This window comes from Homo sapiens, chromosome 11 (genome assembly GCF_000001405.40).
Source record: "Homo sapiens chromosome 11, GRCh38.p14 Primary Assembly".
Lineage (NCBI taxonomy): Eukaryota > Metazoa > Chordata > Mammalia > Primates > Hominidae > Homo > Homo sapiens.
The window spans coordinates 2,834,154-2,862,091 of record NC_000011.10 but is presented as its reverse complement, the minus strand read 5'-3'; the positions used below and the strand labels follow the sequence as shown (position 1 = coordinate 2,862,091).

The following is a 27,938-nucleotide window of genomic DNA, read 5'->3' as shown; positions in this document are numbered from 1 at the left end:
GGGCTGCGTGGTGGGGGCAATTTTGTATTGGGAGCTACTAAAAACTGGCCACCTGGACAGGTTTTTGTTTTTGCCATGGTCATTAATGCCCTCAATGTTTGAAAAAGGCCATTTCACAGTGTTTTATGGGCCTTAAAAATCAGGGACTCTTTGAAAATGGTTGTGGGGCAGCTTAGTGACAGCCAGATGATTAGCAAGAGCTCAGTATCAGGTCTTTAGGGGACCAAGTGTGTGGGGTGGTGGTACAGGAAATCTGGGACTCCCCAGCTGGTACAACTGAGGCTGCAGCCAGGGCCAATGGGCCGGGGAGCAGGAGGCCGGGACTGGGAGCCCTGGGGCCAGCTGGGCTCTGCCAGATACCTGGGTCACTTGGAGGCCCCTGGAAGGCCCCCTGGACTTTCTGCCACATTGCTCAGGCTCTGGGTGCCTACAAACTGCCCCCCATGCCGTTGGGCTGCTCATTAGGGGTTGTGGCCCAAATTAAACTGCAGTAGCCACCCCCAGAACCTCCAAAGGCCTGGGGGGCAATGAGGGGCACAGAGGACAGTGTGTGGCTATCTCTGGGTCTCTGTTCTCCCAGGTGGACCAGTGGGGGTTGTGGCGATGCTGTCCAGGGTGAGGTCCAGCTACGGTTGCCGTCCTGTCTGTCAGCACCAGCACCCAGCACATCTGTAGGGCCTGGGCCCCGGACCCAGCCTGAGGGTTATGAGGAGGTTTCCTGAAGGAGAAAAGCCAGAGTGGAGTCTGGAATGGAGCAGGGGGGACCATGGCCTGCCCTCAGTCTGCTAGGTGGGGCTGGAACCTGGGGTTTTGCTTGGGTGTGAAGAAGGAAGAGGCTGGGGATGCAGCTAGGTGCTGGTTCCTCATAGACCGAGTCATGATTTATGGGGACCCTCAATTATATCCCCTTAGCAGGGGCCACAAAGTCTCAAATCTGCCCAGAAATCCACACCTCGGAGCTCAGGTGAGGTCTTCTTCAGGTTCTCCCTCTGCAGTGCAGATACTGTCAGAAAGAGCAAGCTACAAATGGAGAAGTCAACAACACTCTAGTGAGAATTACCCTGCCAATTAATTTTCTCAGAAATCGGGGACTCAGGGACCGGTGTGTAAACACGAGTCCCTTAATGGGGGGTTCAGACAGGGTGGGTGTGGGCACACAGGGGTCCGTGCTAAAGCCTGGCACTGGATCCCAGGTGTGGGGACTCCAGCTCCTCCCAAGGGGCAGGGGATCTCCCGTCTGTGATGTGGCTGAATGACTCACCGCCTCATCTGTGGGCCAACATGTGTGGTGGGGCAAAGGTCTCTGGCCTGGTAGCCGTGTGAGCTGGAGGGGGGGCACTTCTCCATCCAGGCCTTACAGTTTCCCTTAGGTAAATGGGGCAGAGTAACCCCCTCCTTCCCCTACCACAAGGGTTCTGGGAGGTGTGGAGCCTGGGGTGTGGTGGTGCTTGGCACTCCGTGTTCTTTGGAAGCTGGAATGAGGTTCCTCAGGCCAGTTATGGGTGTGAGATGTCTGGAAAAACGAAGTAGACTGGACGGTGGCCTCATCTATCTGTGCTGGGCTGGGCACCAGCACCTCGCTCTCCCAACCTCTTGGGGTGCGCCCATAGAGGAGATGGAAGCACAGAGGATTTCAGAAACTCCCCACCTTCAGTGTTGCCTTCAAAAGTATACTGCTGTGGCATGTGGGCAAGGAGGGTTCTGGGGATGGGTGGGCTGTGGGGGGAGTAGGCGCATGGGTGGGGTGGGCCCAGGGGAGCAGGCATGAACCCAGGGAGAGGGTGCATAGATGGGGTGGAACCCTAGGGCTTCTGAGGGACTGCAGTGCGGCTGGTCTGTGTGGACAGGCGCTGGAGGGGGCACTGTGCAGAGAGCAGGATGTGGGTGAGCCCCTCTTTCCCCTCTGTCCTTCCCATCCTCCAGGACAGGGAAGCAGCCCTCAGCAGACAGTGTGAACCCCATGCCCAGTGTGAGCATGAGCACAGCTCCCTGCGCTTTGTCTTCAGGAGGTCTCAGATCCAGCCTGCATTGGCTTCCAGCAGACCCCTATTTCCTAATCCTCAAGGGTTGTTCTTGTCAGGCATCCCATTTGCAATGCCCTCGAGGGCCGCTGCCCGTCTGGCAGGGAGATCAGCTTCAAGGACACAGACAGTGTCTGCGGTGGGTGCTGAGTGCCGTAGGGGAGACCCTGGGCTGCTTTTGGAAGAGGAGCATCATGGAAGAGGAGCCCTTTCGCTCTGGGCTTTGGAGGATGAGTAGGAGTTTGCTAAACCCAGATGGGGAGGAGGGCCAGTTTGGCAGGTGGCGTTTGGGAGGACCTGGGGCAGCTGCCACAGCATGCGCCGGGCCTGAAGATGCCTCCTGCGCCTGGGTTTCCAGCTCTTGCTTCCTGAGCCGAGTTGGAGCTGATATCCATGCCTCCCAGCCACGGGATGCTCTTTTCAGTGTGACCAACCAGGCAGAAGAGCTGAGTGACAGGCAACTCGTGGCCTGGTCTGTGGAAGGCAGGGCTGCCTCTGAGCCTGCGGGTTGGGGCCAGAGTCCGGGCCTGGGCCTGCCACTCAGGAGGGAGCCCGGGGCAGCCTGGAGGAAGCACTGGGCCCTGGGGCCCGGCTGCAGAATCGGGGTGTACCCTGCACTGCGGAGGGCCTGGCTGTCCCTGGGGCTGATGACTGGGTGTGGGTGGGGACGGGCCCCAGTGGCCTGAGAACACTCGCACTTCCCTGCCCCCTCTGTCCCTCTCTTTACACCTGGCCCATAAGCGGCCAGTCTGGCTGGAGACCCTAAGCTGGAGAACCACTGGAAAAGAAATGGTTACTTTCTGCCTGGAGAGGGGGTATTAAGCCTCACCTGGGGCTGAGGCCTGGTCTCTTTAGGGCCTCCATGGAGCCCACGTGGCTCCCAGGTGCAGCCATTCTCCTCCACGAGGTGCTTGGGGGATTTGGCTGAAGCCAGGGCCAAAAAGCCAAAGCCTCTTCCTCCATAGCCTTTGCCCAAATGCAGAGGCCAGGGCTGGGGATAGGGGGAGGCGATGAGGGACCAGCTATGGCTGGTGGTCTCAGGTCCTGCAGGATGGTAAGGAGGGGAGGGTGGGCGGGTCTCCTGTCTTCGATGCAACTCACGCAAGGGCTGTCCTGGTGTCTTCTTGTCAGCTTGCTGCCGAGGCTGCCACCTCAGCTGCCTGTCTGTGAAATGGGTCCATGTGTCCCCATGCCTTGGCCCGTCTCCTCTTCCCTACAACAGGCTGCTGTGCAGCCTGGGGCCCTTTCCAGGCCACCTTCTCCATCTGCTCACTGAGGAGGGACCCCTGAGTCAGCGAGGCTCCAGCTTGGCTGCACCCAGCTGAAAGGTGAGTTGGTTCCCAGCCTCAGGCTCCTCATACGTAAGATGGGGCAGCAATGCTTGGCAAGTTCAAAGGAGATCCCTGTTAATGCTTGGCTTGGAGACTCCCTTGAGCCCACTCTGGGCTGCAGGAGGCCCTGGTTGTGGGGCAGGGTCTCTGCCACCTTCACCAGCCATCCTCACACTTGTGGGTGCCCCAGGGTGGGGCACGTCCCAGCCCTCTCTCTGGTCAGCAGAGGCTAAGTGAGGCCTGGGCTCAGGCACCAGAGGGCCCAGGTAGGGGAGGCGGCCGCCAGGTCAGGCCAGGCCGGCTCCAGCGGAGGCTGAATGGGCACTCTGTCCTGCCACCCTCGGCTGTCATCTGCCGCTGGGATTTGGTTTCCTGGACTGGTGCGGCTGCAGGTGGATTCTGCAAGGCCGGGTGACCTCGCAGCTTGGAGCCCCCGTGTCTCCTGAGCCAGGCGGTGGCCGGGGGGTGGGAGACAATGAAGCCTTTTCCTGGGGAGCAGGGGCCAGTCCGCGTAGGGGAAAGCAGTCTGCCTGTGCCCTGAGGCCTCTTGGGCTCGCTGGCGGCAAGAGGGGCCGCTCGGGACAGCGGTGCCAGGCCTTGGCAGGGCTCTCTGCAGGCTGGGCCAGCCAGGCGCCGGGTAACTGAAGCCACCTGGACACACGCGGGGGCTGTGGAGCGTTTTCGGGACACAGTTCTGCCTGCTTCACCTCAAGGATGGTGGCAGGGGGGCCATGGGGGAGGGAGGGAGGAGTGTGTTCGTGGCACCAGGGGCCTGGGGACTGACCCCCACTGGCCTCTCTGCTCCCTAGCGCAGCCTGGCTTCTGCTGAGATGAGGGCTGGGGCCGGCCCTCTCTGCTGGCTCCTCCGGAGGCACAGGTGCTCCTGGTAGTGCAGGGAGTGAAATTGTCTTGCCCCCCGCCCTTGTTCTTTGGGCCACGAGTTAAACTGAGCAGATTAGCAGAAGGAAAGAAATAATTTTCATTATGTACGTACGAGGGAAGGCCACAAAGCGTGACACCCAGAGAAGGGCAAGGTGATTTAAGCTTATATGTCCTCCCAACCACAGAGAGGAATAGGGGCTGGGGCTTCTGGGGTGGGGGCTGCACCAGTCGTGGGAGGGCCAGGGAGGGAGCATGAGTGACGGTGGTCTCCAGATGCAGATGAAAAGTCCCCTGGGACCCACATTGCCTCTGGGCAGCCCTCAGCGGAGGAGGTGAGGGGCCTTCTGGGCCGATGCCCCTGGCGGCCGCCTCTCCTGCCTGCAGCTCCAGGTGGTCTACATCCCAAAGCAGCATAGTCTGGCGTTTCTCGAGCTCCTTCAGTGGTGGGGGTGAGGGGGCTTCCTGGTGGCACAGAGCTCCAAGTTTGAAGTCCAGCGGGTGCGGTTGGTCACTGGGTGCCCTTGGACGAGGGCTGAGCTTCCAGGGCCTCATCTCTGTCCCATCAGCTGGGGGCATGGTAGCATCAGGTAGTCGATGAGGGGCCCCGGCTGGCACTTGCACTGGAAGGCCTCTGTGGGGTGACTCTCCTCATCCCAGGGCCAGGGAAGGGGTGAGACCAGGGCTGGGGGCACACAAAGCCCTCTTCCTGGGAGTGTTCCCAGCTTTCACTGGTTCATTTGTTCCATCCACAGCCCCCAACCTGGGTATGCCCACCTGGCTGTCTTTGCCCCAGAACAGTGGTCGTAGCCAGTGGTGTCAGAGGAGTGGCCGGGCCTGGGAGCCCGAGAGGAGGCAGCTTCTGAGCCCGGACTGTTGCCCGTGCACCTGCTTGATGGGGCCGGGAACAGCTCTGGGAGAGTGATTTTGGCTCTTAGGGTGCATGTGGGGTGGCTGGGTGTGAGTTTGAATCTCAGCTCAACCCAGAATGGGTGAATTTCCATTTGCATAGGGAGGCTGGACACAGTTAGGTCACAGCTGTCTGAGAAACTCTTTGCAGAAGGTCAGGAGAACAGGAAGGTCTCCACAGATGGGTTCCATAGCATCAGATGGGTGAGGACAGACAGCTGCAGAACAATTCGGATCACAGGCCGCTGCTGTGTGGTTTCAGAGCCCTTAGCACTTGCAGGTTAACTACCCAGGTGGGAGAGGTGTGTGGCTGTGGCGGGGGTGAATGGCCCTGCTTTGTCCAGCCTACGGCTGTGGGACATTTGGGAACACACAATAGGAAGGTTTTGTGGAGGTGAATGGCCCTGCTTTGTCCAGCCTACGGCTGTGGGACATTTGGGAACACACAATACGAAGGTTTTGTGTCTATACTTTGAAAAAATTCCCAAGGCGGCTGGGAGCGGTGGCTCATACCTGCAGTGCTTTGGAAGGCCGAGGTGGGAGGATCACTTGGGCCCAAGAGTTTGAGACCAGCCTGGGCGACACAGCAAGACTCTGTCTCTACAAAAAAATAAGCAAAATTAGCCAGGCGTGGTGGTGTACTGTAGTCCCCACTTCTTGGGAGGCTGAGGTGGGAGGACCACTTGAGCCTAGGAGATCAAGGCTGCAGTGAGCTGTGATCAGGCCACTGTACTCCAGCCTGGGTAACAGACTGAGACCCTGTCTCTAAAAAAAAAAAAAGTCCAGGGCAGATGATGTGGGGCATCTGGGGGGATTCTGAAGGAGCCCAACAGGACCATTGAGGACCGTGGGCTTGAGATGTCACCGTAGAACATTCTGGAAGCACCTATCACATGTGCTGCGTTGCCTGGCTCACAGCCCACCCTAACCATGTGAGGTAGGATGTGGTCTCAGCCTGTTTGATAGATGAGAAACCAAGGCAATGCACGGTCAAGCACCAGGCCCAAGTTCCCAGGAAATTCAGGCTCTGGAAGCTGTGAAAGAGCCTCCCCATCCTATGGCTCTTCTATGCCTCAATTTCCCCTTCTGTAAGTGGTGGTTCTCAGCAGCTGCGTCGATGGTTTGGAGATGCCGCTGAGGCCTCCTCCTAAAGCGGTGAGATGAGACATTTCCCTTGCAGACCCCCTCTGAGGTGGTGCCTGCTCCCTGAACTGGGCAGTGTGGGTTCACCCCAAGGATGAGGTGGAGGCCCAGAGAGGAGACAGGCTTGGCTGGGGTCAAAAACGGAGTTACAGGCGGAGCGAGAGCCCGCAGGCCCCCACGCCGCAGGGCCAGCCAGTCAAGTGGAAGACGCACGGGAAGTGTCTGCCCCTCTTTTCCTCTCCAGAGTCCTTTGACATGATCTCGTGGACCGAGAGGGGATTTGATTAAGACCCTTTGAAATTATTTAATGGCATTCACCACCATCCTGACAACCCCTCTTTAGAAGCCTTTCTCAAGCAGCCTCCTGCCCACCCCCAGGACGGGCCCTTTCCCTGGGCGATGCTACGGTCCAGCTCCCTGGGCCTCTGCTGGAGTCTCTGGGGTCGGCCCAGGCCAGGCCCATCAACACTCAGGGGCTGCACAGTTCCACCCTCAAGTGCCCTGGAGGGGCCCCACCCCGGGGTTGTGGCCTCTCCCAGCTGGAGCCTCCTCTTCCAGAGCCTGGCCAGTCCACCTCTAGCCCATTGCTCCCATTGTCCCTGGCAGAGATGCTTCCGGCCAGGCCTTCTTGGGGTGGCTGGGGGCACAGTTGGGGTGAGTGCTCCCTGAGTGCCCACCTGAAGGCTCCTCCCACAGATCCTCTGCCCCTCTGGGTGCTCGGGGGGCTTCTGACACCAGCGGCATCCTGGCCTTGCTATGGGGCCACTCTTCCCCATGGCACCTGGGCCACTTGTGACCTCCCTCGGCTGTTCTGGGAGAACTGGATGGCATTTGGGGCCCTTCCCTCTCTGGTCACCTGTGCTGACTCAGGCTCTGCCTGGCAGAAGTGTCCCGTGGGTGGATTTGCTGCGGAGACCTCTGTCTCAGGGGCTGTTTGTGTGTCAAAGCTCCAGGTTGCTGGACTGAAGAGGACGTCAGTACATGGTTCTCCCTGAGCACAGTGAGCTCTGTCATTGCTGTTTGGTCTTGCGTTGGCGCCGGCTTTTGCAATATCTTCTCTTCCACTGAGGATCCTGGGGTCAGTTCTGTGGAGCTGTGGTTGCAGTGAGCGACTGAAACTCAGAGAAGCCTGGCTCCTGCCCCAGGGCACCTGAGAGAGGGGCTGAGCCAGGCTGTGAATGAGGGGATCCCTGGCTTCTGGCTTCAGCTTTTCCTTCATTCCCACTGCCTCGTGCCACACACACAGTGGAGGCACTTCTTGTGTTGTAGGTATGTGTGTGTGTGTAGCGGTGTCGGGGTGTAGGTGTGTAGATGTGTGTGTGTGTGTGTGTGTAGGGTTGTAGGTGTGTAGATGTGTGTGTGTGTAGGGGTGTCGGTGTGTAGGGGTGTCGGTGTGTAGGGGTGTCGGTGTGTAGGGGTGTAGGTGTGTAGGTGTATGTGTAGGTGTGTGTAGGGGTGTAGGTGTGTAAGTATGTGTATTGTGTGTGCAGGTTTGTAGGGTAGGTGTGTGTGTAGGTATGTGTGAAGGTGTGTGTGTGTGCAGGTGTGTGTAGCTGTGTGTCAGCATTGGCCAGGGGAGGGATGTGGTTAAGAAACAACCAAAAGTCATTCAGTGGGGTTTGGTGAATCACATTTGCGGTCAGGCTGTAACAGAGTTTCTTGAGGATCTAACTGGGAAGTTTGAGATTTTCTGTGTGGCAGGTGCAACAGCAGCCTTCTTGGAGCCAGTCGGTGTGTTCTGAAGGCCCACCTGACCCTTGGCTGTATCAGGCAGGCACAGTGCTTTGTGGCTTCTTGGCCTGTGTGGGCCAGCAGAGGAGCTGTGCTCAGACCACCCTGGAATTTTGAACATCTCTTCCTCAGATCTGGCCTCTCTGGCCAAAGGTCTGGCAAGGCCAGCTCTTGCTTTCAGCCAGTCAGTTCATTCCTGCCCTCTGGCTTCCTGGCTGAGCTACCTTCTCTGCTGTGGAAGCCCCATTTCTTCTCTGAGGCTTTTCCAATGCAAAGTCACACAAACAGGCGCAGCACAGGCCCGGCCTTCCCCCAGCCTTGGTCTCCCTGTCTGTACCGGGTGGGGGGCTTCACGAGCTCTGAGGCCTTTTTGCTCTGGGGTCTCTCCCCTCAGCATGAGTCTTCTCTGTCCTCGGGCACCTGTTAACTCCTCTCCGTGGGTTTGCCGCTGCCACCGGCTTCCCAGGGCGCAGGCCCAGGAGGGAGATGAAGCTGTGAGCCTGGTTCCCAGAGCCTGCACCTCCTGCCCTGATGCTGCTCAGCTGCAATGCCACAGAAAGACCCCATGCGTCCTGCAGGCTGGAAAGGAGCATGTCACGGGGAATGTTGTGGAGGGGCCGGCAGTGGGGAGAGGAGAAGGTGGGGGGGGTTTCCAGGGTCATGGGTCATGCAGGTGGGGATCACTGTGCCCAAGTGACAAGCCCTGGACTCCATCTCGACACCCCCACCCCTGCACCTTGGGGCCACTCCCGGGAAGTGGAAGGAGCTGTGTGTTTGAGGCCCCAGAAGGCACCAGGATGGATTCTGTCCACTGAGCCATCCATGGCCACCTCTGGGCCCGGCTTGTGTCTTCCTGGGCCTCGGGCTCGCTGCCTGTACGTGTGCGAAACCCAAGCCTGGGGATAGGTGGGCGGTGGGGCTGGGCTTGGCTCTGGGAATTAAGGGCGGCCTCGTCCCCTCTGGGAGCCATGGGTGAGGGTCTAGAAGGAAGAGTGGGGAGCGGGCCCAAGCATCTCCTGGAGTCCAGCAGGGCTGCCCTGGGCCAGGCTGTCCATCTCCTTTACGCTCTGCCTCACTCAGGTGCCTTGAGCTGTGGGGGCTGCAGGGGAGGGGAGTTGTAGGAGGCCTGGTACGGGGTGCTGAAGAGGAGGGCCAGGAGGTCATAGCAGGACCTACTGAGGGAGAAGGATCTTGAGGGCAGAGTGGATGCCCCGCCTCCTATTACCCAGCCAGTGCCTGGGTGGGACAGGCTGGGGCCTTGGCCTCTAAGGCCTTGGGCTGGGGTGGCAGCCCCCAGCCCTCCTGCACTGCCCGACTGAGGGCCCTCTAGGCTTCCTCACCAAGGCTCCACAGTGGAGTTGGGAAGGGCCGGGGTGGGACCTGTCAGCTTCCAGGGGGCCCTGGCCCCGGCTGTCTGCACTCAGAGGCCAGTGGAAACTGAAGCTCTGTTTGGCTTTGGCTGCCCCAAGCATCCTCCAGGCCTGGCTGCCTGGGACCCTGGCTGACCTGGGTGGGGACAGGAAAGGTGAAGGGTGCTGGGACACAGGCCACAGGCCTGATCTCCCAACTAGCTGGCCCTCCAGGGCCACAAGAATAGGGCCAGAGGCAAGAGCGGGGTTGGTGCAGTTGGGGGCCGAGAATGGTGAGGCTGAGACACGCTTAAGATCCCCAAGGAGGCCGGGTGCGGTGGCTCATGCCTGTAATCCCAGCGCTTTGGGAGGCCGAGGCGGGCGGATCACGAGGTCAGGAGATCGAGGCCATCCTGGCTGACATGGTTAAACCCCATCTCTACTAAAAATACAAAAAAAAATTAGCCGGGCGTGGTGGTGGGCGCCTGTAGTCCCAGCTACTCGGGAGGCTGAGGCAGGAGAATGGCGGGAGGCGGAGCTTGCAGTGAGCTGAGATCGTGCCACTGCACTCCAGCCTGAGAGACAGAGTGAGACTCCGTCTCAAAAAAAAAAAAAAAAGATTCGCAAGGAACCCCTGGGTCCTAGAGCCCGGAGGGCTGTGCTGAGAGGAGGCTGGGGTGCTGGGGGGAGCAGGCTTTGGCACAGCTCAGATGGGCACTCCAAATTAGGGACTTGATATAGTTGAGAAAGGGCAGTCTTCATCCCTGCAGGTGACTCAGCAAATCCCCTGGAGATGGGGGTGCTGTGTGTGGTGGCCCCAGGAGCCCTGGCTCTTGTCTGCCTTCCTGCTCCTTCCCCCAGCTGTCTGGCTGCCCCAGATCAAAACACCTGGCCTGATCCCTCCTTCAGGGCGCAGGGTGTGGACCCCTCTCCTGTCCATTGGAGGGACGCCTGGTGATGCCCTGCTTGGGTCCTGGTACCTCTGCTGCACATGCAGCACTGGGCAGCCTCCTTCCAACTTTTCATTTTATTCCTTAATTTAACTGGCACTTCCTGAGCACCCAGCTGGGGCCAGGCTTGTACTAGGCACTGCCAGCCCCGGCTCCTTTTTGGGGCCTCAAAGGCCCAGCACAGCCCCTCTCCCAGTGGTGGGCCTGACTCCTGACCACCACGCTGGTGGGGGACTGCCTGCCAAGATGGTGCTCAGAGGAGGTCCTGAGTAGGGAGGGGGGCTGGACGTCAAGTACAGGGTGAGGATGGGGAAGCTGGGCTCATGGCGGGGGATGCCCAGGGTGAGTGGCAGGGTTGCAGCCTGTGGGGCCTCACAGGCCCACTCAGCAGTGGGGAGTCATGGTTGGCTTGAGAGCAGGATGGGGAACTGCCAGCTTGGGTTTGGACAGCTCTCCCTGGCACCGAGGGGCAGGGAGCTTGGTGGGGTAAGGCTAGATGCAGGAGGGGCCTCAGAAAGGAGCTCCGAGGCAACAGGCAGGAGAGCAGCAAGGAGGCAGAGCCCAGTATCACCCACCCAGGTGGTTTGTTTGGCTTCCTTTATTAAGCACCTACTGTGTGCTCACATGTCTCATCTCCATCAAGCCCCTGCCCCGTACGCCCCTTCTAGGGGGCACTTTTACTGTTCCCCATTTCGCAGACAGGACTGGGGTGGGAGCTGAGGGGCTGCAGGTCGGCCCCGCCCTTGACTCCTCCTCCTCCTGGCTCCCTGGCCCGAAGATGGGAGAACCTCGGGCTTGGCCAGTGCCAGCCCTAGAGACGGGCTTCCCCATGGCCACGCCCAGCACCCACGAGGGGACATCTGGGGGCAGGCAACGGGGGAGGAGAGCCTGGCAGAGGAGGTGGGTGCCCCAGGAAGCAGGAGCAGCCCCTCCCCCAGTCACCCCCAGCAGATGCTCCTGGCACCCATTGGACCCCGAGGACCTCAATAAGGGAGCCCAATTTGGAGACAAAGGCCGGCTCTGGGGACAAACACTCATGGCTATCCTCAGCCAGAGCAGCCAGGCAGCCGCGGTGAGGCCACAAAGGGCCCGAAGAAAGGGGCTGCGGGAGGGGCCGTGAATGGGTCGGGGCTGCACATGCCACCGTTGCCCGGGCGACGGCCCTCTCGCAGAGAGGTCTGCCGGGCCATTGTCCGGGGCCCGCAGGACGTGCCACACACCAGATGGTCGTGTGCTGTCTAGGTCACTTATCGGGGGACAGAGTGAAGGAATGCGGCCGGCACGGCGGGCCGAGGCGCCATCTGTTCCCTCAGTCCACGGGCACCGGCGGGCATTGAGCACTCGGCCGGCCAGGCCCAGCCTCCGCCATGGCTTTAATTAGCTAATTCCATAATTGGGCTTTATTTCAGGTAAATTGCATTTCACACCCGAGAGGGCTGCAATGGCCCGTCCAGGAGAGGAGTCCTCGGGCACTTTGTGCGCAGTCCATAATATGGACAACAAGGCGGGCTGGGTGCCGGGGCCGCGCCCGGCCCAGATGGGCGGCCCCACGGAGCTCCCTGTGGGCCAGGGTCCCGGGGTGGGCGGCCGGGGCTGGGGGGCCTGGGCGCTGTGGAGGGCCCTGCTTTCCGGCCGGCATCCCCGGGTTTCCACAAATATTTACCCAACAAGGAAACAACAGTTCCTGCCTTTCAGTAACTGCTGCTCCCGCTCCTCCCGGAGGGGTGCAGGCCAGGGAAGCCTGGGAAGCCCCGTGCTGCCCCTCCACCTCGTCCATCCCGGTCAGTGCTGGCCAGGCCAGATGCCAAGACCCATGGGTTGGGGGCACGGGCCCAGTGGGCTTGGCACCAGGTGGGACCCAGGGCCTTTCCCTCTAACAAGGGCTTCCACCCCTACTCCACACAGAAACCTGGGGCCCCTGTCCCTGCCACCTGCTGCTGGCCGCCTCCTGCCCCCAGTGGACTCAGGACAGCCCCATCCTTGATATCTCAGATGCCCCAAGCCCTCATATCCTGAGACTTCGGGATGGGCTCTGGAAAGAGGACAGAAGGCGGCTGCAGTCCTGAAGGACTGAGAAACGGTCCAATAGCTGAGGTGGGGGCACAGCAGATGCACCTGCCCCGGTTGAGTGTGTCTGTGCCGAGAGTGAGGCACTCTTTCCACCTTAGGAGAGGCGGGCCTCACAGAAAGCTGCAGGAACAGGGTCAGGGCGAGCAGGGTGGTGGCCCCTCTGTCCCACTCAGAGAACTGGACAGGCTAAGGGAGCATCGTGTTACCAATGGGGAAATAGAGGCCCGGAGGAGGCCAGGGGTGAGCATATGGGAGCCTCAGGGGCCCCAGGCCTTCCTTGCACCACAACCCCTCCAGAGTTTAGCCCTTGGCATCCTGGGGAATGGGCCTGGGTGGGGCCTGCTCCCAGAGTGGAGCATGTGGGTCCTTGATGAAGGGCCACCCTGGCCTGGGAGGGGCAGACAGAGAGGCCCAGACAGAGCCCATCTGCCGCAAGGGCATAGAGTCTGCTGGAAGACAGGCAGTGACCACACTGTGACTGCACTTCATGGCCAGGGCCAGCCCAGGGCCCAGAACAGGAGCGACGTCGCTAAGCTAGAGCCTTCGATGGCATCTTGCAGCCCCTCTGAACCCTGACCTACTCCTCAGTACACGGACATAGCGTTCCTATTCCACAGCCACCTGGGCACTGCTTCCAGGGGAACTGCAGGGGTCCTGTCTGTGAGAGACCCCATGGATGCCCCAGGAACCAAGGTGAGAGCAGTGCCCAGCCCAGCCTGTGATTCTCCACGTTTATTAGGAAAAGCTTGCACAATTAATAATCAAAATCACACTGTGAAACTCATTAAAACACAGATCCAAATCACCACAAATTATTGATTTCTATGCGATGTAATGCCCAGAAGGAACCCCTGTCCTGTGTAGGAACCGTCACTTCTCTGCGGCTCAGCAGCTGGCAAGGGGAGGTGGCAGTCCCCTTCTGTGTGTTTGGCTGGCTGCTGGGACTGGGCGAGGGGTTGGAGGCGGGAGCCCCACGCACAGTGGGCTCAGGGGCGGAGAGGCAGGGCTCCTCTCCAGCTAGGAAGAGCTGGCAGTCTAACCCAGGGAAGTGGGCGTTCCCCCCACTCAACCACGTGCCCTGGGGAAATGGTGAGACTGTCCCTCCTGCTGGAAGCTGGGGGCTCAGGAGCAGTCTCCACAGTCTCCTGCCCATGGGTCAGCATTTCCTGAGAGTGAGGGAGCCAGGCCCAGGCCCTCCAAATGGGCTCCTGGGCTTTTATTGCCGGCGGCCCTGTAGTCAGCGTGGGCTGGTCCTGCCCTGCCTGTGCCTGGCAGGGTCCTGGATTTGAGGCTGGGGTCCAGGGGTTGCTCTGTCTCCCCTCAGGAAGCCCCCTGGGCCAAGCAGGGTGGGCCTGCACTCAGCCTGTGCTACTTCCTGGCCATACATGGGCCAGGCCCTGTGCCCTGCCACTGGGTCCCAACCACCATGCCAGTGATGTCAACATCACCATGTGGGGGCCAGGGCGCTTGGGGTAACAACTCAGACCTGAGACGGGGCCCCCACACCGGCCAGGAAGAGGTGGCCTTGCTGAGCCCCCAAGTGCAGGCTGTGCCAGACAGCATGGTCCATGGGGTATTGGGGCCTCTGAGAGTGGGGCTCTTCTCTCTGGGCCTTTTAGGAGGTGGCCTCCTTCAGAGAGGGCCAGGTGGGGCCACTCTTGGCCTCCCCTCTCACTCAGGCCCATCCCCCAGCCCCATCCCCTCCTCAGGACCCCTCATCGGGGCCCCTCCTGGGCACGGTCAGCTGCTCGTAGGTGGGCAGGGTGTTGCTGGGCAGGAAGAGCTCAGGGTCGACGGAGCCGCCACTGCCGCAGGGCTGGGTGATGTGGGCCCCGCCCTCTCTGGGGGGGCCGCCGCTGCCGGGGGTGCTGCCACCGTGCAAGGAGAGCAGCTGGTGAAGCATGTCGGTGATGAGTGCCAGCCTCTGGTCCAGCTGCGTCACCTGCGGGGACAAAGGCAGACGAGAGAGTCAGTGGTGGGAAGCACCCAGGTGTGCAGACAGCCTCAGGGCCCAGGTTTGGGGCCAGAGAAGGGAAGGTGCCAACCGTCTCTGCAAGTGCATGCTGTATGCAGGCGGCACGCACGTGTGCACCCTATGTCTGCAAGGCCCTCGGTCGCGCCTGTGTGTGTGCAAGGAATGTGCATGTGTGCCGATTGGAGTCCATCCCGTGCGTGCTGGGAGTCCCTATATGTGTCCACAGGCATTCAGGCTCAGGGCCAGGAGCTCTCCTCTCCTCCTTCTCTGCTCCCCAGGCTGGCCGGCCTTCTGTGCCACATCCCCGCATGGCAGGGTCTGCACCAGGGACCCGGACCTGAAATATTTGGGTTTGCGGCAGCCTTTGGCTTCTTGAGGCCAGGCTTGGGGACATTTGGGTTAAGGGTCAAGAAAGGCTGGGGGCTATGTCTACTGTGTCTGGAGGAGAACTGGACAGAGGGCAGAGTTCAGCAAGGCTGGCTCATGGGCAGGGCCTGGGGTGGTTGAGGAGGCAGAGGGCTTGGGCTTTGCCTGGGTGTGCAGGGGATGCCCCTGCTGGGCCACTTCCAGGAGGGGCTTGCAGGGCACAGGGCTTGTGCCTCTGTGATGCTTTCTGCAAGGGGGTGGGGGTGGGTTTTTTTGTCATCCCCCAGGAACCATTATGCCATGTCTTTAACCTAGCGGGGACACCACTATTTTCCCAGACACCATCTGCACCCACATTCTGTGGTCAGAGCAGTGCCCTAGAGCGTGCCCTCTGGCTAGCCATGTGGCCTCCACCTTCTCAGGGGCTGGTTCTGCAGTGAGCTATGTGCCAGGGTGGCTGCCCTGCAAAGCTGGCAGGGAGGTCAAGGCAGGACAGAACCCGAAATGCACCCAGCACAGAGAGTAGGTGATCAGAGGCCTCGCAGTGCTGCGGAGGCAGCAGAGAAGCCCCAAACGAGTGGACAGCCAGGTGATCTGAGAGCTCCTTGGAAGGACAGCACCGCTGGGGAATGAGGCTGGAGCCCGCCCCGGGTGGGAAGTGGCCATCCAGCCTTGATGGGGAGACTGGAAGGCCCTGGCCGGCAGGCCGGCACCCTGGCACCCTCAGAGCAGGTGCTGGGTGGAGCAGGGCCAACCCCAGGGGCAGACTAGGGCAGGTGAGGGAGTCCAGGTTGGGGACCCCTCTCCCTAGGAGGTTGGACCTGGGGGCCCTAGCATGAGTGAGGGTTCGGGGAGGGCGCACAGCTCTGTTGGTGGCCACAGGAGACAGGGCTGGTCCTTCAGCCTGCGGTGTTCTTGCAGGAGAGCCCCTCAGCGTGCTCTGTGGAGAATGAAGTAGACCCTCCCCCACCGTGGGTACCTGGAGGCCTGGAAAGACCTAGAAGTGGTGGGGGAGGGGCAAACAGATCAGCACGCGATAAGGGCTGAACAGCAGAGCTGCTTCAGGGAAACGTATGGCTCCAGAGAGAGGCACGAAGATGACTCAGCCACAGCAACGTCAACCACTGGCCCTAAGCACAGGCAGCAGGCGGGAGCTGGCCCGGTCCACCTGGCCGTGCACTCCAGGGGTCTGCACCCTAGGCTGCGCCGGGCGGGCCTGGTCCCTCATGCGCCCGGCCCCACTGCTGATCCAGCCGGATAGGCTTGGGGTGAGGTGTGGGCCAGGGCTGGGTTCTGTGCGGGTGAGACAACCCCAGGGAAGATGCTGCTGGGTGACGTGGGCACAAGCCCCGGGATGGCCAGAGAGGGAGCAACCAGTTTGCTAGGGTCTGGGTGGACCCGGGCCAGCTTCAAAGGCTGGGTGCTGTGGTCGTCACCCACAGCACCTACCACGGAGGCTGAGCAGGCTAAGGAAGAGGCGGCCAACAGGGTGCTGTGAGAGGCTGAGATGAGAGGGGGGCGCCTGCCTGAGTGGGGCCGAGCGTCTGTCTAGAGGGCTAGGTGGGCAGCCTCCACCTGGGAGGGTGGGACTGTGCCCTGCCCAGAGCAGGAGCCCAGGGGACCCACTTCCAGCCCTGGGTGGTGGGGGCTGCAGTGTGGAGGCTCCCTGGCTCCCCTGTGGTTCTGCCTTGCAGGTATGGGGTGAGTCTGAGACCCAACTGTCCTGAACACAAGGGCAGGTGTACATCCGAGGTCTGACGGTCCAGGCCAGAGGGAGCCCCATGTTTTATTTTTCCCAGATAAACCTGATGTGAGGCCCAGACTATGGAGGAAAGGGGTGCAGGACTTCTGTGGTTTGGCAGGGGCAGGGGCCCAGGGCCATCCACCGGGGTCTCTCACACCCAAGGACCCGCCAGCACTTCAGTGCTCTGCAAAGCCACTTGGGGACGAGCCACAGAGGCCCACACTCCATCCCACAGATGCAGACACTGAGGCCCAGGAAAAGAGGGTCAGAGTCACTGGCTGAAAGTGCCATGTCTCCCATCCTGTCCCCACAGCTCCCACCCCAAGGCTCCATCTCGAGACCACGGAGCTGCCATATGGGGGGACACAGTGTGTCAGGTAGGGAGCCGGCGAAAGCAGAGGGCAGGGTGGGGCGGGGCCTCTGGGAGGGGGACCGGCCTGAGGTCTCGTTCTTGTTCAGCCACACCCTGACCCCCGTGGCTCCTGCTGCCGGCAGGACCAGCCCTCTCAGTCCCACGACCTGCTCATGCCTGGTAGGGGTCATGGGAGGTCTCTCAGCCTTCAGGGTGCACATGAGGAAACTGAGGCCCAGAGACCTACGAGAGCGTAGCAGATCAAAGGTGCAGCCAGCGTGGGTCTTTGAGGGCAAAGCCTGGGCTTGTGTCCTAGGGCTCACCTCAGCTCCCTGGGCCCCGCATACTGGTAGTGTGGAACGAGGTTTGCCCCGCGTGGCTTACTGTCACTAACTGTGCAGGCCCCAGCTTGGGTATCAATTGGTTTGGCATTAATTAAAGCACCAAATACATCACAGATGAACATTTGTGGTTTCATAAATTTTCACATTATGGCACTCGAACATCTGTCCAAGTCCCACATGTGCTAATGGGTGTGGAGGCCTTCACAGGGGATTCTTGGGACAGAAAGAGACAGTGGGTGTCAGGGCCGCAGGCAGGCAGTGCAGGCTGAGGGTGTGGCTGGAATCAGCGCTCAGTCCTGAGCCACTTTGGTGACAGCTCCTCCCGGCAGGGAGTCCCGGCACCGTGTAGAGAGGCACTCAGCCACCTTTGGGGTCGGGAGGCAGCCACAGGGCCGAGCTTGCCTCCGACGGACACTGAAGGGCTCCCTGAAGCTGCCTGGGCCAGCGTCAGCCCATGCCTGGCTCTGGCTGGTCCCAGGCTCACCTCAACTGCTGCCTGTGCCAACTGGGGCTTTGAGGGACTGGCTAGGGTCTCTGGCCCCAGAGACATGCTCTCATCATCCCAGCTGCTGGTGACAGAGGCCCCGGGGGTGGGCCAGGATGTGGGCTGGATGCCCAGGGCGGGTCCACAGTCTGATGCATCATGCTGCTGCCCCCCTTGTGGGAAGGGCCCAGGCCTGGGCTACAGGTGGCTCCTCGGCAGCCCCAGAGTCTTAGCTCTGACTCAAGCACTTGTCACAGCACGTGTCCCTGAAGAGTCCCACCCCACCACTCTGCGGGCAGGGCGCCTTCATCTCGCTGGCACGTTTGGTTTTTTTTGGCGATGGAGGAGCCTGAGAAGCACCTCCCATGGCCGAGGCCAGACCCCACCCATGCGGAGGTGCATCCGGGCAGGTGCCATCGGGGAGCTGCCGCCCTGGGGGAAGGCAGTGCATGCTCTAGGCACTGGGGCCGGTTCCCCAAGAACTGCTGGGACAGATCAATTTTGGGGATCTCAGCCTCCACCATTATTTGCAATTTGATAGTGATTAAAAGGCAAGGCAGACAAAAGCTGCTTTGTGCCCGGCCTGCACTCACCAAATTAATAACCATAAGAGACCTATGCAGCCCTCGGAAGAGAAAAAAGCAATTAGAATAACAGCTAGTTAGAGAGCCCCGGGCGGCCGGCGATCAAACCCAAGGCAACGGGGATTCCTGTTTGATGTGGTTATGAATTTGTTTTCAAAAGAAAATCTTGAAAAAGAGTCTTTCAAGGGAAATTTTTGCAGAACCTGCCCGGCCTTGATCCCCGCCTAGGACCGCCAAAGGCCCTGGCCTCGTGGATGGCAGACTGGCCAGGGACAGGCGGGAGAGGCCGGGCACACCCGCTGCTCCCAGGGTGGGGGTCCTGTTCTCTGCCTGGGCTGCAGTTCCCCAGGAGGCAGAAAACTCACTGCCCCTTCTAGCATCCTTGTTGGGCAGTGTCTAAAGACCAGGCAGGGCCTCCCCAGGGCCCTCTGTAGGGTCGCAGGGCAAAGGTCACCTTGGCCTTCCTCCTGTCTGTCCTGAGGAACCAGCAGTTACTAAGCCACTCTCAGGGCGGTACCTAGAATGTTTCATACCAGGCTCTGAGCAATCGGATGTCAGACCCGGCTCCTGTGTGGAGCTGGGCACAAGTGGCAATAGGTCACAGCACGTGGTAAGGTCGCGGTTCGTGGCAGGGCATGGAGCGATTGTGTTTGACTTTGCTTTAGTGCTTCAGTTCTTGGACAAAAGTCGACCGTGTTTCTCGCTGCTGAGGTTTTACCGCCAGGCCTTGGGGCAGCTGCCCTGCTGGAGCTTGCTGTGCTGTGGCCAGTGGGAGATGGCCTCAGAACCCCCCACACTGCTGCAGGGCCTTGGGCACAAAGCACCTCCTCACGGGAGCGTGCAGGCAGGCGTGTGTGTGCCGCAGCGGGTCTGGGGTCAGATCCTGCCTCTGCCGCTTCCTGGCCGGGTGACCTTGGGCAAGTCACTTTGCTTCTCTGAACCTCAGTTTCCCTGCCTATAAAACAGGGCAGCTGTAGCACCTTCCCCAGGAGGATGCTGAGGGGATCAAGTGGACTGAGGCATGAAGACACCAGGGACAGAGCATGGTGCTCAGTGCACTGCGAGCCACCCGATGGCCATGATCATTAGGGATTCCTAGAGTGCACGTACAGTTGCACATGTATGCCTGTGGCCTGAGGCCAAAGGAGCACTGCTGTGCACACGGGAGGCATGCTAGGTGAGCCCACATATGTGTACCTCGTACGAACCTGTGGCTGTATGAGTGTGGGAGACTGTGCGTGCAAGAAGGCAGGAACCACCCTGCACCCTTGTACACACTTGTACAATTCCCTTCACTTTCCATTAGGTTGTTCTCTGGGCTGCCCAAGGGTTGGAGTGCACCTGCCTGCACCCCCAGGCCCCTGGGCCTTTGTGTGTGCCACAGAGGTGAGCACCCCCTGCAACCCATCACAGGAGTTGGGGGTGCTGCTGGGACAAAGCTGCGTGGAGAGCAAGCAGCAACTCCCATGGCTTGGGTGCTTGGGCAGGTACCAGGCGTCCTCTCCTAATGGGGAGACAGATGGCACTGAGTCTGGGACCCATGGTCACACACATACCAGCTGCTCCCCCTGTCCCCCAGAGCCCTTCACCCGGGCAGTGTCCAGGCTGTGTGTGAGTCTTGGCCCAGAGAGTCGAGCGTCGTGGCAGCCCCTGTGCTCAGGCTCGGGACTGGCGCCTGTGGTGGGGCTGAATTGGCAGGCACTGAGGGTGAGTGTGTCCGCTCAGAGGCTGCAGACCAAATCCTCAACCTTGTCTCTGTCCCTGGTGTCTGTTGTCTGCCGAGCAGCCAGAGGAAGCTCTGCCGCGGCTGGGGACCCACACCGCTCATGGTCGGTTATGTCCTCAGCGGGTCCTCGGCACAGCGCAACCATGCGGCAGAGGCCTGGTCAGCTCCACCCCAACACCCTTCCTGGGGCTGCCGCTGCCTGGCTGGCCCTCACTGACCACCCCCCAGGAGCGGGGTTGCCTCCCTCTGAGAGAGGCCCAAGATGGTGAAAGAAAGACCCTTCCCCCTGCTGCTGACATCCACTTTTACCAGCCTCTGCCCACTGACGGATGCTTGGCCCCCCAAGGGCCTCAGGGGCGCCATGTCCCTGGCTGACGACTGTGGGGGAATATCTCAAGATCGTCACCACACGACCCTCGTTCCCTTCCTGGGACCTCGGCTAGCTAGGATGTCCCCGTCAGCTACTTGCTCTCTCCAGGGGCTCCAAGGCCTGCAGGCCAACAGCCCCACAGCTCAGCGTGTCCCAGCGGGAGCTCAGATTCCTCCCAAGCCGGCCCGAATCCTGTATCCACAGGGCACGACCAACTACCCAGGGTCCCTGGTGTGCACCTGGTGTCTGTGGCTCTCTGGTCTGGAGCATGTGCTCTGAGCCTGCCCCCCATGCCCCTTGCCCAGGCTGGCAGCATCTTCTGCCTGGACTGTCACAACCACCTCACTGCCTGGCTATGCCCCCAACCTGTTCCCCGCTTGTTCCAGGCAACAGCCAGGCTGAGCCTTCCCTCCCAGCCTGGGCCAAATCCTTCTGCAGAATTCCCACTGGACTGGGAGTAAAATCCAGTCTCCTTTTGCAGTGCCCCCAGAGGCTCCGCTGGCCCCTCTCCGGCACTGAGCATGCCCGTGTTGATCTGAGCGCCCATCTCAGTTGGGCCCTGGGGCCTTTGCACCCGCTGTCCTCTGCTGCTTTGTAACCTTAGCTCAAAATCCTGGGCGGCCTCCTCGTCTCATCTCTCCCCATGTTCCTGTAAGCCTTCACCACTCCCTGAAATGTCCCGGTTTATTGATCTCCTTGCTTGGTGTTTTGCCACCAGCTGGAGGCCCAGCTCTAGGCCAGGCAGTCACCGTCTTAACCCTAGACAGTCTCCCAGAGCCTGGAGCCTGGAGCCTAGAAGGTGCCCAGTAAATACATGGAGGGTAGAGTTGGCGCTGCACAAATGTTTGTTGAATTAGTAAGTGAGGCCCCGGCCAATTTCCCGGGGCCCCAAGGCTGGAGTGAGGGGGTAGAAGCCCCCCAAGCCCACTCCCTCCCAGGGTGGGTGCTGAGCAGAGAAGCTGAGGCTGGGACTGGGCCTTTTCACGTTCATTGATTTGTAAGGACTCTATGTTAAGAAAGATGTCAAGTACACATCACACATGTTTTTCCCTAGTGTGCTATTTGTCTCGTGTATGGGTTTATGGCATTTATTATTTTTTTGTTTTGCCACACAGAGGTCTTACTTATGTTTTCACTTTTTCACGTGGTCAAAGCCATCCATCTTTTCCTTTATGCCTTCTCATCCTGTGCGTGCTTGGAAGGGCCTCCTCCATTCCAACGCCAAAATCTTTTTTCCTAATACTTTTTTGATTTGTGTTTTACCCCCTAAATCTTTGAATCGCCTGGGATTGATTTCTGACCTACAGACTTACTTTTGCAGGTTATCCTGCTGATACCCCACCACTTATGGAATGATGGACCTTTTCCCCACTGGATTAGAATGTCCTTTTTGTGTATCATCGACCCTGAACAACCCAAGTTTGAGCCGTGTGGGTGCACTTCTACGTGGATTTTCTTCCTCCTCTGTCACCCGAGACAGTAAGAGCCACCCCTCCTCCTCCCCAGCTGACTCAACGTGAAGATGACGAGGATGAAGACCTTTACAATGATCTGCTTATGCTGAATGAATATCTTTTCTCTTCCTTACTTTACTTTATTGTAATACATGAAGCATACAAAATGTGTTAATTGATTGTTTATGTTATTGGTAGGGCCTCCAGTCAACAGGAGGCTATTAGTGAAGTTTCTGGGGAGTCAAAAGTTATACATGGGTTTTTGACTGGGCAGTTCGGGGGTCGGTGCCCCAACCCTGCATTGTTCAAGGGTCGACGGCACAAAGTTCCTGCACGTCTTCCTGTACTTTGGCGTCTACGCAGAACTGCCCTAGAGACCGCTCTTGTACATGCTTTGATACTGGGAGCCAGGGCCCTGCTGTCTGGAGGTGAAAGACGACAGGCTCGTTCTGGCATCCAGTCGGGGAGTGGCGACGGGAGCTGGAACCCACACCTCTCCCAGGTGACCTCATAACCTCCCCTCTTGTCTGTCTCCCTGGTCGGAGAGGTCGCGCTCGTCTGCTAAGAACCCGGAGAAGGCCTCTTCTTTGTACTCTGAGCAAACAACAAAGTCCGCACCACGGCTGTGGGGGCTGAGGGATCCCAGCCCCTGCTGCCTTCCCTCCCCCAGCTGGCTCCAGCCACCAGAGCCTCCCTTCCTCTTCCTCTCGGCCCGCACGCCTTCCTGGATTCTCCCTCGGCTCAGCCCTCACCTCGTCATAGCCCCCAGGGGGTCTATGTGTGCCGTGTCTGCTGACATGAGCCGGTGCCACATGGCCCCGTGCTCCTGGACACGCAGCCACCTCCCTCCCTGCATCTGGGTTGGGGCTGACGTTTGTGCCAGAGCCAGAGCTGTCACATCCACAGCCTCACAGACCTGCAGAGGCTGCTCCGTGCGGACATTCATGTCAACTTCAGGGTGGGGACAGAGGTCATGGAGGGAGTCAGTGGCAGAGCCAGGGGGGCCCACGTGGCACAACACTCCCTGGGTGGCACTGGAGCCCCTTTGCCCTCTTCCCTTGGAAGGGGCCTGGGCAGGAGGCCCAGGTGCACCCAGAGGCCAGGGAGCTGCCTCACTGCCAGGCAGGTGGGAGGGGGTGGGGAAGCCCCAGGCTGGGATGGGGTCTCGAGCCTCCCCCAAGGGCTGGCCTATCCCTAGCCCGGCCTCAGGAGCTTCCTGCCGGCAGACGCCAGGCAGGGGCGGCTCTGTCCAAGAGCCCGAGGCAGCTGCCCACCTGCCCACCTGCCCACCTGCCCACCTAGTGCAACCCCGGGCAGGGCTCGTCCCATCGGCCTCTGTTTGGGGGCCAGGCGGGCAGGAACGTCGGGCAGGCTGGGGGCCCAGGAGCCGTGTTTGTGCTGGCGGTGGGCACAGGCCCCACCTGCATTTGATTCTCTGCCGCTGCCTCCTGAGCTGCCCCCTCTGGCGAGCCCGCAGAGGCCCGGAGGCCAGGGGACACCAGGCAGAACACTTTGTTCGGGCAGCCAGCGAGCGCTCTGCTGCCTCAGCCAAACCCCAGCCCGGCCACGGGGGCAGGTGGGCAGGGGAAGCCAGGGCTGCCTGGCCGTTCTCGTGTCATTGCTCCAGGTCTGCCCACATCGGCCCTGCTGCCCCCACATCCTCCCCTACCCTGGGCCCTCAGCCACTTGCTGGGCCATCTGGAACCTCTGAGCGCACCAGCCCCTAGGACCCCAGCAATACCCCTCGCTGTCCCCGGAAGTCCACAAGCAGACCTTAGATACTTCCTCTCGCCTCCCTTCCCCAGCCCAGCAGGGTGGCCCCATACCACTGGAAGTCAGACCCCTGTCAGTCATAGGCTCTAACCCTCAGTGGCTCCGGATCAATGCCAGAGTCCGCTCACAACCCTGTGGTCTGGCCCAGCCCCCATCCCTGGCCTCACTCTGCAGCCTGCTTCCCGGCGCGCCGGTCCCTGGCCCCCAGCCCCAAGCCTGCTTCCTTCTTTCTGCATGCCGTTTCACACTCCTCCAGGTGCCTGACGGGCATGTGGATAGTTTGGCACCTGTCCCCCGACCCTGCCAGTGGCTGTGAGCCACGTGAGGTCAGTCTGGCTTCCTTCCATCCCCACCTCTGTCTGCCTGGTCCCTACTGGTGGTGTTTGCTTCTCAGAAGTAGGTCCCCTTCCTGAAACTGCCCTTGGCGTGCAGCAGGTATACCCTAAATATTCCTGAATTTGGGACGGGACGTTTCTGGGCTGGCTTCCTCAGTCTGTCCCACGTTGCCACCATTTTTCTCTAAGACAGAGGCCTCTGGGGCCCATGACCCCCTCTCCTTCCTGCAGACAGAGAAAGCACCGGCACCTGCTGATCTCCCACACCACAATGTCCACTTGCTGGGCGAGAACCTTTGAGGCATCCCTGCTGTTCTCGAGATACCAGCCTCGGCTGAGGGTCCCTCGCCGCCGGCCCCTGTGGCCCCCTGGGCGCCGCCCTTCTCGCCCCAGAGCCGGTTTCCTCTGGTTCCTACCTCAGGACCCTCACATGGGCTGGCCCTGCCTCCTGGAGCATCCACCCCTCTCCTTAGCCTCCAGACCCTTCTCATTCTCCAGGCCCCAGGTGAGGGTCTCCTTGGTGAGGCCCCCTCCCTTCCCCCTCCTGGTTTGGCTGTGGCCACTTCCCCTGCTTTCCATCCCCCACCTCTGTCTGCCCGGTTCCTGCTGGTGGTGTGTGCTTCTTAGAGGCCGCCTCCCCGAGGGCAGGGCACTGCACAGCCAACAACAGTTCAATGGCCTCTTGCTCGCTGGGAGACCCTGGGCCTTGGTCACCTCTCGAGCAGGGAGGGGCCGGGGAGTCTGTTCTGTGGCACAGTGCAGCCTGGGGGCTCAGGCCCGGGCGTGTCTGGGAACGGAGGCTGTGAGCGCGGAGCGGGCTCTCCTGGGCCCCAGGCCACTCCCTGGGCCTGAAGGGAGGGGCTCAGGGGAAGGATGAGGCCCCTCGTCCCCAGCTCCCTGGGCACCACTGAGAGGCCTCTGGCCACCTCCGTCCCTCAACATTGGCCACGCCCACAGCCTGCTGTGTTCTGTCTCCACCCAGGCCTCTCCCCGGGCGCTCTTGGCTGTCCCTGCTGGCTCAAGACGGTGTCCTCTCTCTGGACACTCGAGAGGCTGCCCAGGGTGCTCCCAAACACGCACACCATGTGAGCCTCTTCCTCCGCCCTACGTGCCCCATCCTGCCCATCCCCAGGAGAGGGCTGCCATGCCCCGTGCCCCCAGCCCACGGGCTCTCTGCGGCTGGGGTGCTTGTCTTCCTGAACCCTTTCTGTGAACGCCTCACATGTTTGCTTCAAAATTAGTCTGTGTACAGGGTTTTTCATGGTATAAGTACCCTATGAAGACGTTCTCCCGCCAAATAAAGACATTTCAAAGACACATCTCCATTTCACCTGCCCCATTTCCCTCTAGGGCCCCTGCCTGCCAGGTAACCAGCTTAGGGATCTGATGTTTCTCCTTCCAGCAACTTTGATACGCAGCTCGTGCCTGGTTCTGCCTGGTCAGCGAGGTTTAGCACGAGTGAGGCGAGGCGTGATGTGACACACATGTGGCTCTCCACTGCTTGTTTCCATGCGACACACTTGTGGAGGCTGCACGTAGAATCACGGGGACAGTGCTGGCTCCTGGGACGGCTGTGCAGCCCTCCTTTCTGTGGGGATTGCTGACATCACCACCCAGTCCCTGCTGGTGGGCGTGGAGGCTGAGGGCTCCACAGGCCAAGTCTTTCTGCCTACATGTGCTGGTGTTCGGGGGGAGGGGTCCCCTCTTCTGGGGAGCTTGGTGGCAGCAGCCAGGCTGTGCTCTCCCACCTCCTCCCCTTGGAGTGCAGTCCGGCCTCACCCTCTACCTCCTGGGTGAAAACTTCTACCTCCGGCCTGAAACGTCACCATGCCTCCCCACAGACAGACGGATGGACAGATGGGCCTCCCTGCACCTGCTCTGTGGGTGTGGGGGCTCCTGCTCAGCAGCAGTTTCCAGACCCTTCTCCCTGCTTTCCCCAAGCCACCCGCCTTGAATCTGGGGTGCTCTACCAGACCCATCCCCTCATTTCTAAAGATTTGAGCCACTAGTCGTGTCCCTCTCCCTCAGAAATGCCTTGGTGACACTTGGCTGCTTTCAACTCTTCCACCCATCTGCCTCTTGGTCTCATCTTTACCTTCTGCTAAAGGTCCTGACCCCCACCCCCGCCACGCCACGGGGCACCCCATGGTGGTGCGTCCTTGGGAGCAGCTCTGTCCCTTTCCCCGTGGCCTTTGCCCCGCCTCCTATGACTTCGATTCCCACCTGTCCCCGACCCCTGGGACCACTGACCGGGCCCGATCACCCTGTCACTGCCCTGTCATCTGCTTACCCCACACGGTGCTCTGCTGACCCAGGTCTTGCTGTCTCCCAACAGCCCCACGAGGCTTCCCGTCGCTCCTGGACACTGCAGGCTGAGCCCGCTGCCCCGCCGCCTCCATGAGGAAGGCTTTTCCTCTGTGAGCCCCAGGCCACCCTTTCCCTCCTTTAAGTAATTACTTAAGTCCCTTGCCAGGGCCCTCCCAGTACCCTTTCTAAAGACACCCCTGCCCCAGCATGCTGCAGGCTCCTGCTCCACTTTCCTCTCAGGCCCTCGTCGCTGTGGTGCTGCCTTTGTTTTCTGTCTCTGCCACGGCAGGGGGTCAGCTCCTTGGAGGTGGGGCTTCTGCCCTTGCTGTACCACTGCCTGGCACACAGTAGGTGCTCAATAAAGACTTGCAGGGTGAGCTGCCTGAAGAATAGTCACCAGAGGCCAGAAATGTCTAGAGCTCTGCCGGTAGGGTGACTGGCCGAGGAGCCTGGCCTGCATGTGTGCGTGTGTGTGTGTGTGTGTGTGTGTGTGTGTGAGTCAGGGTTTATATGCAGGTGTCTACAGGAGACATGCTGGGTTCTGTGCTGGGTGTGAGGAATATGGGAGCAGAACCCCAGGGAGGTGGCAGAGACTTGGGGGCCAAAGGGCTGGGGTGCAGGGGGGCAACAGCCAGGTGCCACTGGCCACCCCAGCCGCAGGGAGCCCTGCCCACCCTCCAGGTGCCTGGATGTCCAACCTCACTGCTATTCCCACCTCAAGCCAGGCCTGGAGATGGAGGCCCCATGACTCAGCCAGGGCCGGTTTGCAGCTGCGGCTGACCCAGACGGGCGGGCAGCCCCCAGCCCCCGGGCCTGCACCCAGGACAGGGCCGCCCTCCCTCCCTCCCCCGCTTCTGGCTCCTAGGACAGGATTCTCTGAATTCAGCTCCCCTGAGGCTGGGGCCAGGTTGGAGGCCAGGCCTGGGGGCCCTGGGCTGGGGTCCCAGATAGGGGCTGGGCGGCCAGGCTTGGAATCTGGAATCCAGCCCCATTCCTGGCATCTGCAGGAGCCTCGTGGGGAGGGAGACTTGGGATGGACTTCAACCAGCCAGGGCTGGATTCTTGCCCCGGAACCTGCATTCCTGGGGCAGCCAAGGGATCCTTCCCACTTCTGGGCCCAGCTTGGCCCTGCCTGGCATTCGAGGCCCATCTGGGGCTTGGGGGTGTCTCCCCAACTCTCAGACATAAGGACACCCTTCCAAGCTTGTTCCTTCACCTGGCGGGGCCCTGAGCCCCACACCCCTCCCCTGTCCTTTCTCCATCCGACATCAAGCGCCTCCCTGCCTCTGCTCGCACAGTCTCTGAGATGGGGAACTCAGCACCTCACAGGTGGGCCCAGCTCTGGTGCTGTCTGTGTTGGGGGAGCTGGGGCAGCCCCCAAAAGACCTTGGAGACAGACCCTCAGAGGCAGGAGCAGAGGCTGGCAGTGGATGCTGTGCCTGGAGGCCTTGAGGGCGAGGTGTGATGATGAGGCCCAGGCTGCAGGGCTCTTTCTGGCTCTCCAGCTCCGGAGAACAAGGGATTTCCTCCTGCTCTGCCCACCCTCCCCAGCCAGTGCATGCTCAGCCTCAGCACCGCACCTGGGCGCCCTCCATGATCTGCCCCACCTGGACACATGGCTCGAGGGGCACACTACCATGCCATACACCATGTCACGCACCTTGCCACTCCACATGCTACACAACCCAGCCCCAGCCCCAGCCATGCCATGTGCCACACCATGTGCCACACCACTCCCACC

At 60.7% G+C, this 27,938-nt stretch overlaps 1 protein-coding gene and 1 long non-coding RNA gene across 7 annotated transcripts in view, besides 3 other annotated features; one reads left to right on the top strand and one right to left on the bottom strand.

Moving 5' to 3' along the window:
- The first annotated feature begins 522 nt into the window (after nt 1-522).
- On the top strand, nt 523-21,957 carry KCNQ1-AS1 (KCNQ1 antisense RNA 1). Its single transcript, NR_130721.1, has 3 exons — nt 523-1,102; nt 3,153-3,349; nt 21,650-21,957. It is a non-coding gene; the product is annotated as a KCNQ1 antisense RNA 1 (long non-coding RNA).
- Nucleotides 3,362-4,343: an enhancer, noted in NCBI's record as "H3K4me1 hESC enhancer chr11:2878979-2879960 (GRCh37/hg19 assembly coordinates)". NCBI's record gives its function as "activates a minimal SCP1, AML or CMV promoter by ChIP-STARR-seq in naive H9 embryonic stem cells {active_cell/tissue: H9 hESC(naive)}" and the evidence as "EXISTENCE:reporter gene assay evidence [ECO:0000049][PMID:30033119]".
- The window catches only part of KCNQ1 (potassium voltage-gated channel subfamily Q member 1), a 404,098-nt gene continuing 389,146 nt past the window's right edge, over nt 12,987-27,938 (bottom strand). For all 6 annotated transcript variants that reach the window (NM_001406837.1, NM_000218.3, NM_001406836.1 and 3 more), the window contains one exon: nt 12,987-14,325. In NM_001406837.1, coding sequence (NP_001393766.1) covers nt 14,089-14,325 — 237 coding nt within the window. In that variant the 3' untranslated portion in view covers nt 12,987-14,088. The remainder of the gene's footprint in view (nt 14,326-27,938) is intronic.
- Nucleotides 25,389-26,255: an enhancer, noted in NCBI's record as "H3K4me1 hESC enhancer chr11:2857067-2857933 (GRCh37/hg19 assembly coordinates)". NCBI's record gives its function as "activates a minimal SCP1, AML or CMV promoter by ChIP-STARR-seq in primed H9 embryonic stem cells {active_cell/tissue: H9 hESC(primed)}" and the evidence as "EXISTENCE:reporter gene assay evidence [ECO:0000049][PMID:30033119]".
- Nucleotides 26,256-27,123: an enhancer, noted in NCBI's record as "H3K4me1 hESC enhancer chr11:2856199-2857066 (GRCh37/hg19 assembly coordinates)". NCBI's record gives its function as "activates a minimal SCP1, AML or CMV promoter by ChIP-STARR-seq in primed H9 embryonic stem cells {active_cell/tissue: H9 hESC(primed)}" and the evidence as "EXISTENCE:reporter gene assay evidence [ECO:0000049][PMID:30033119]".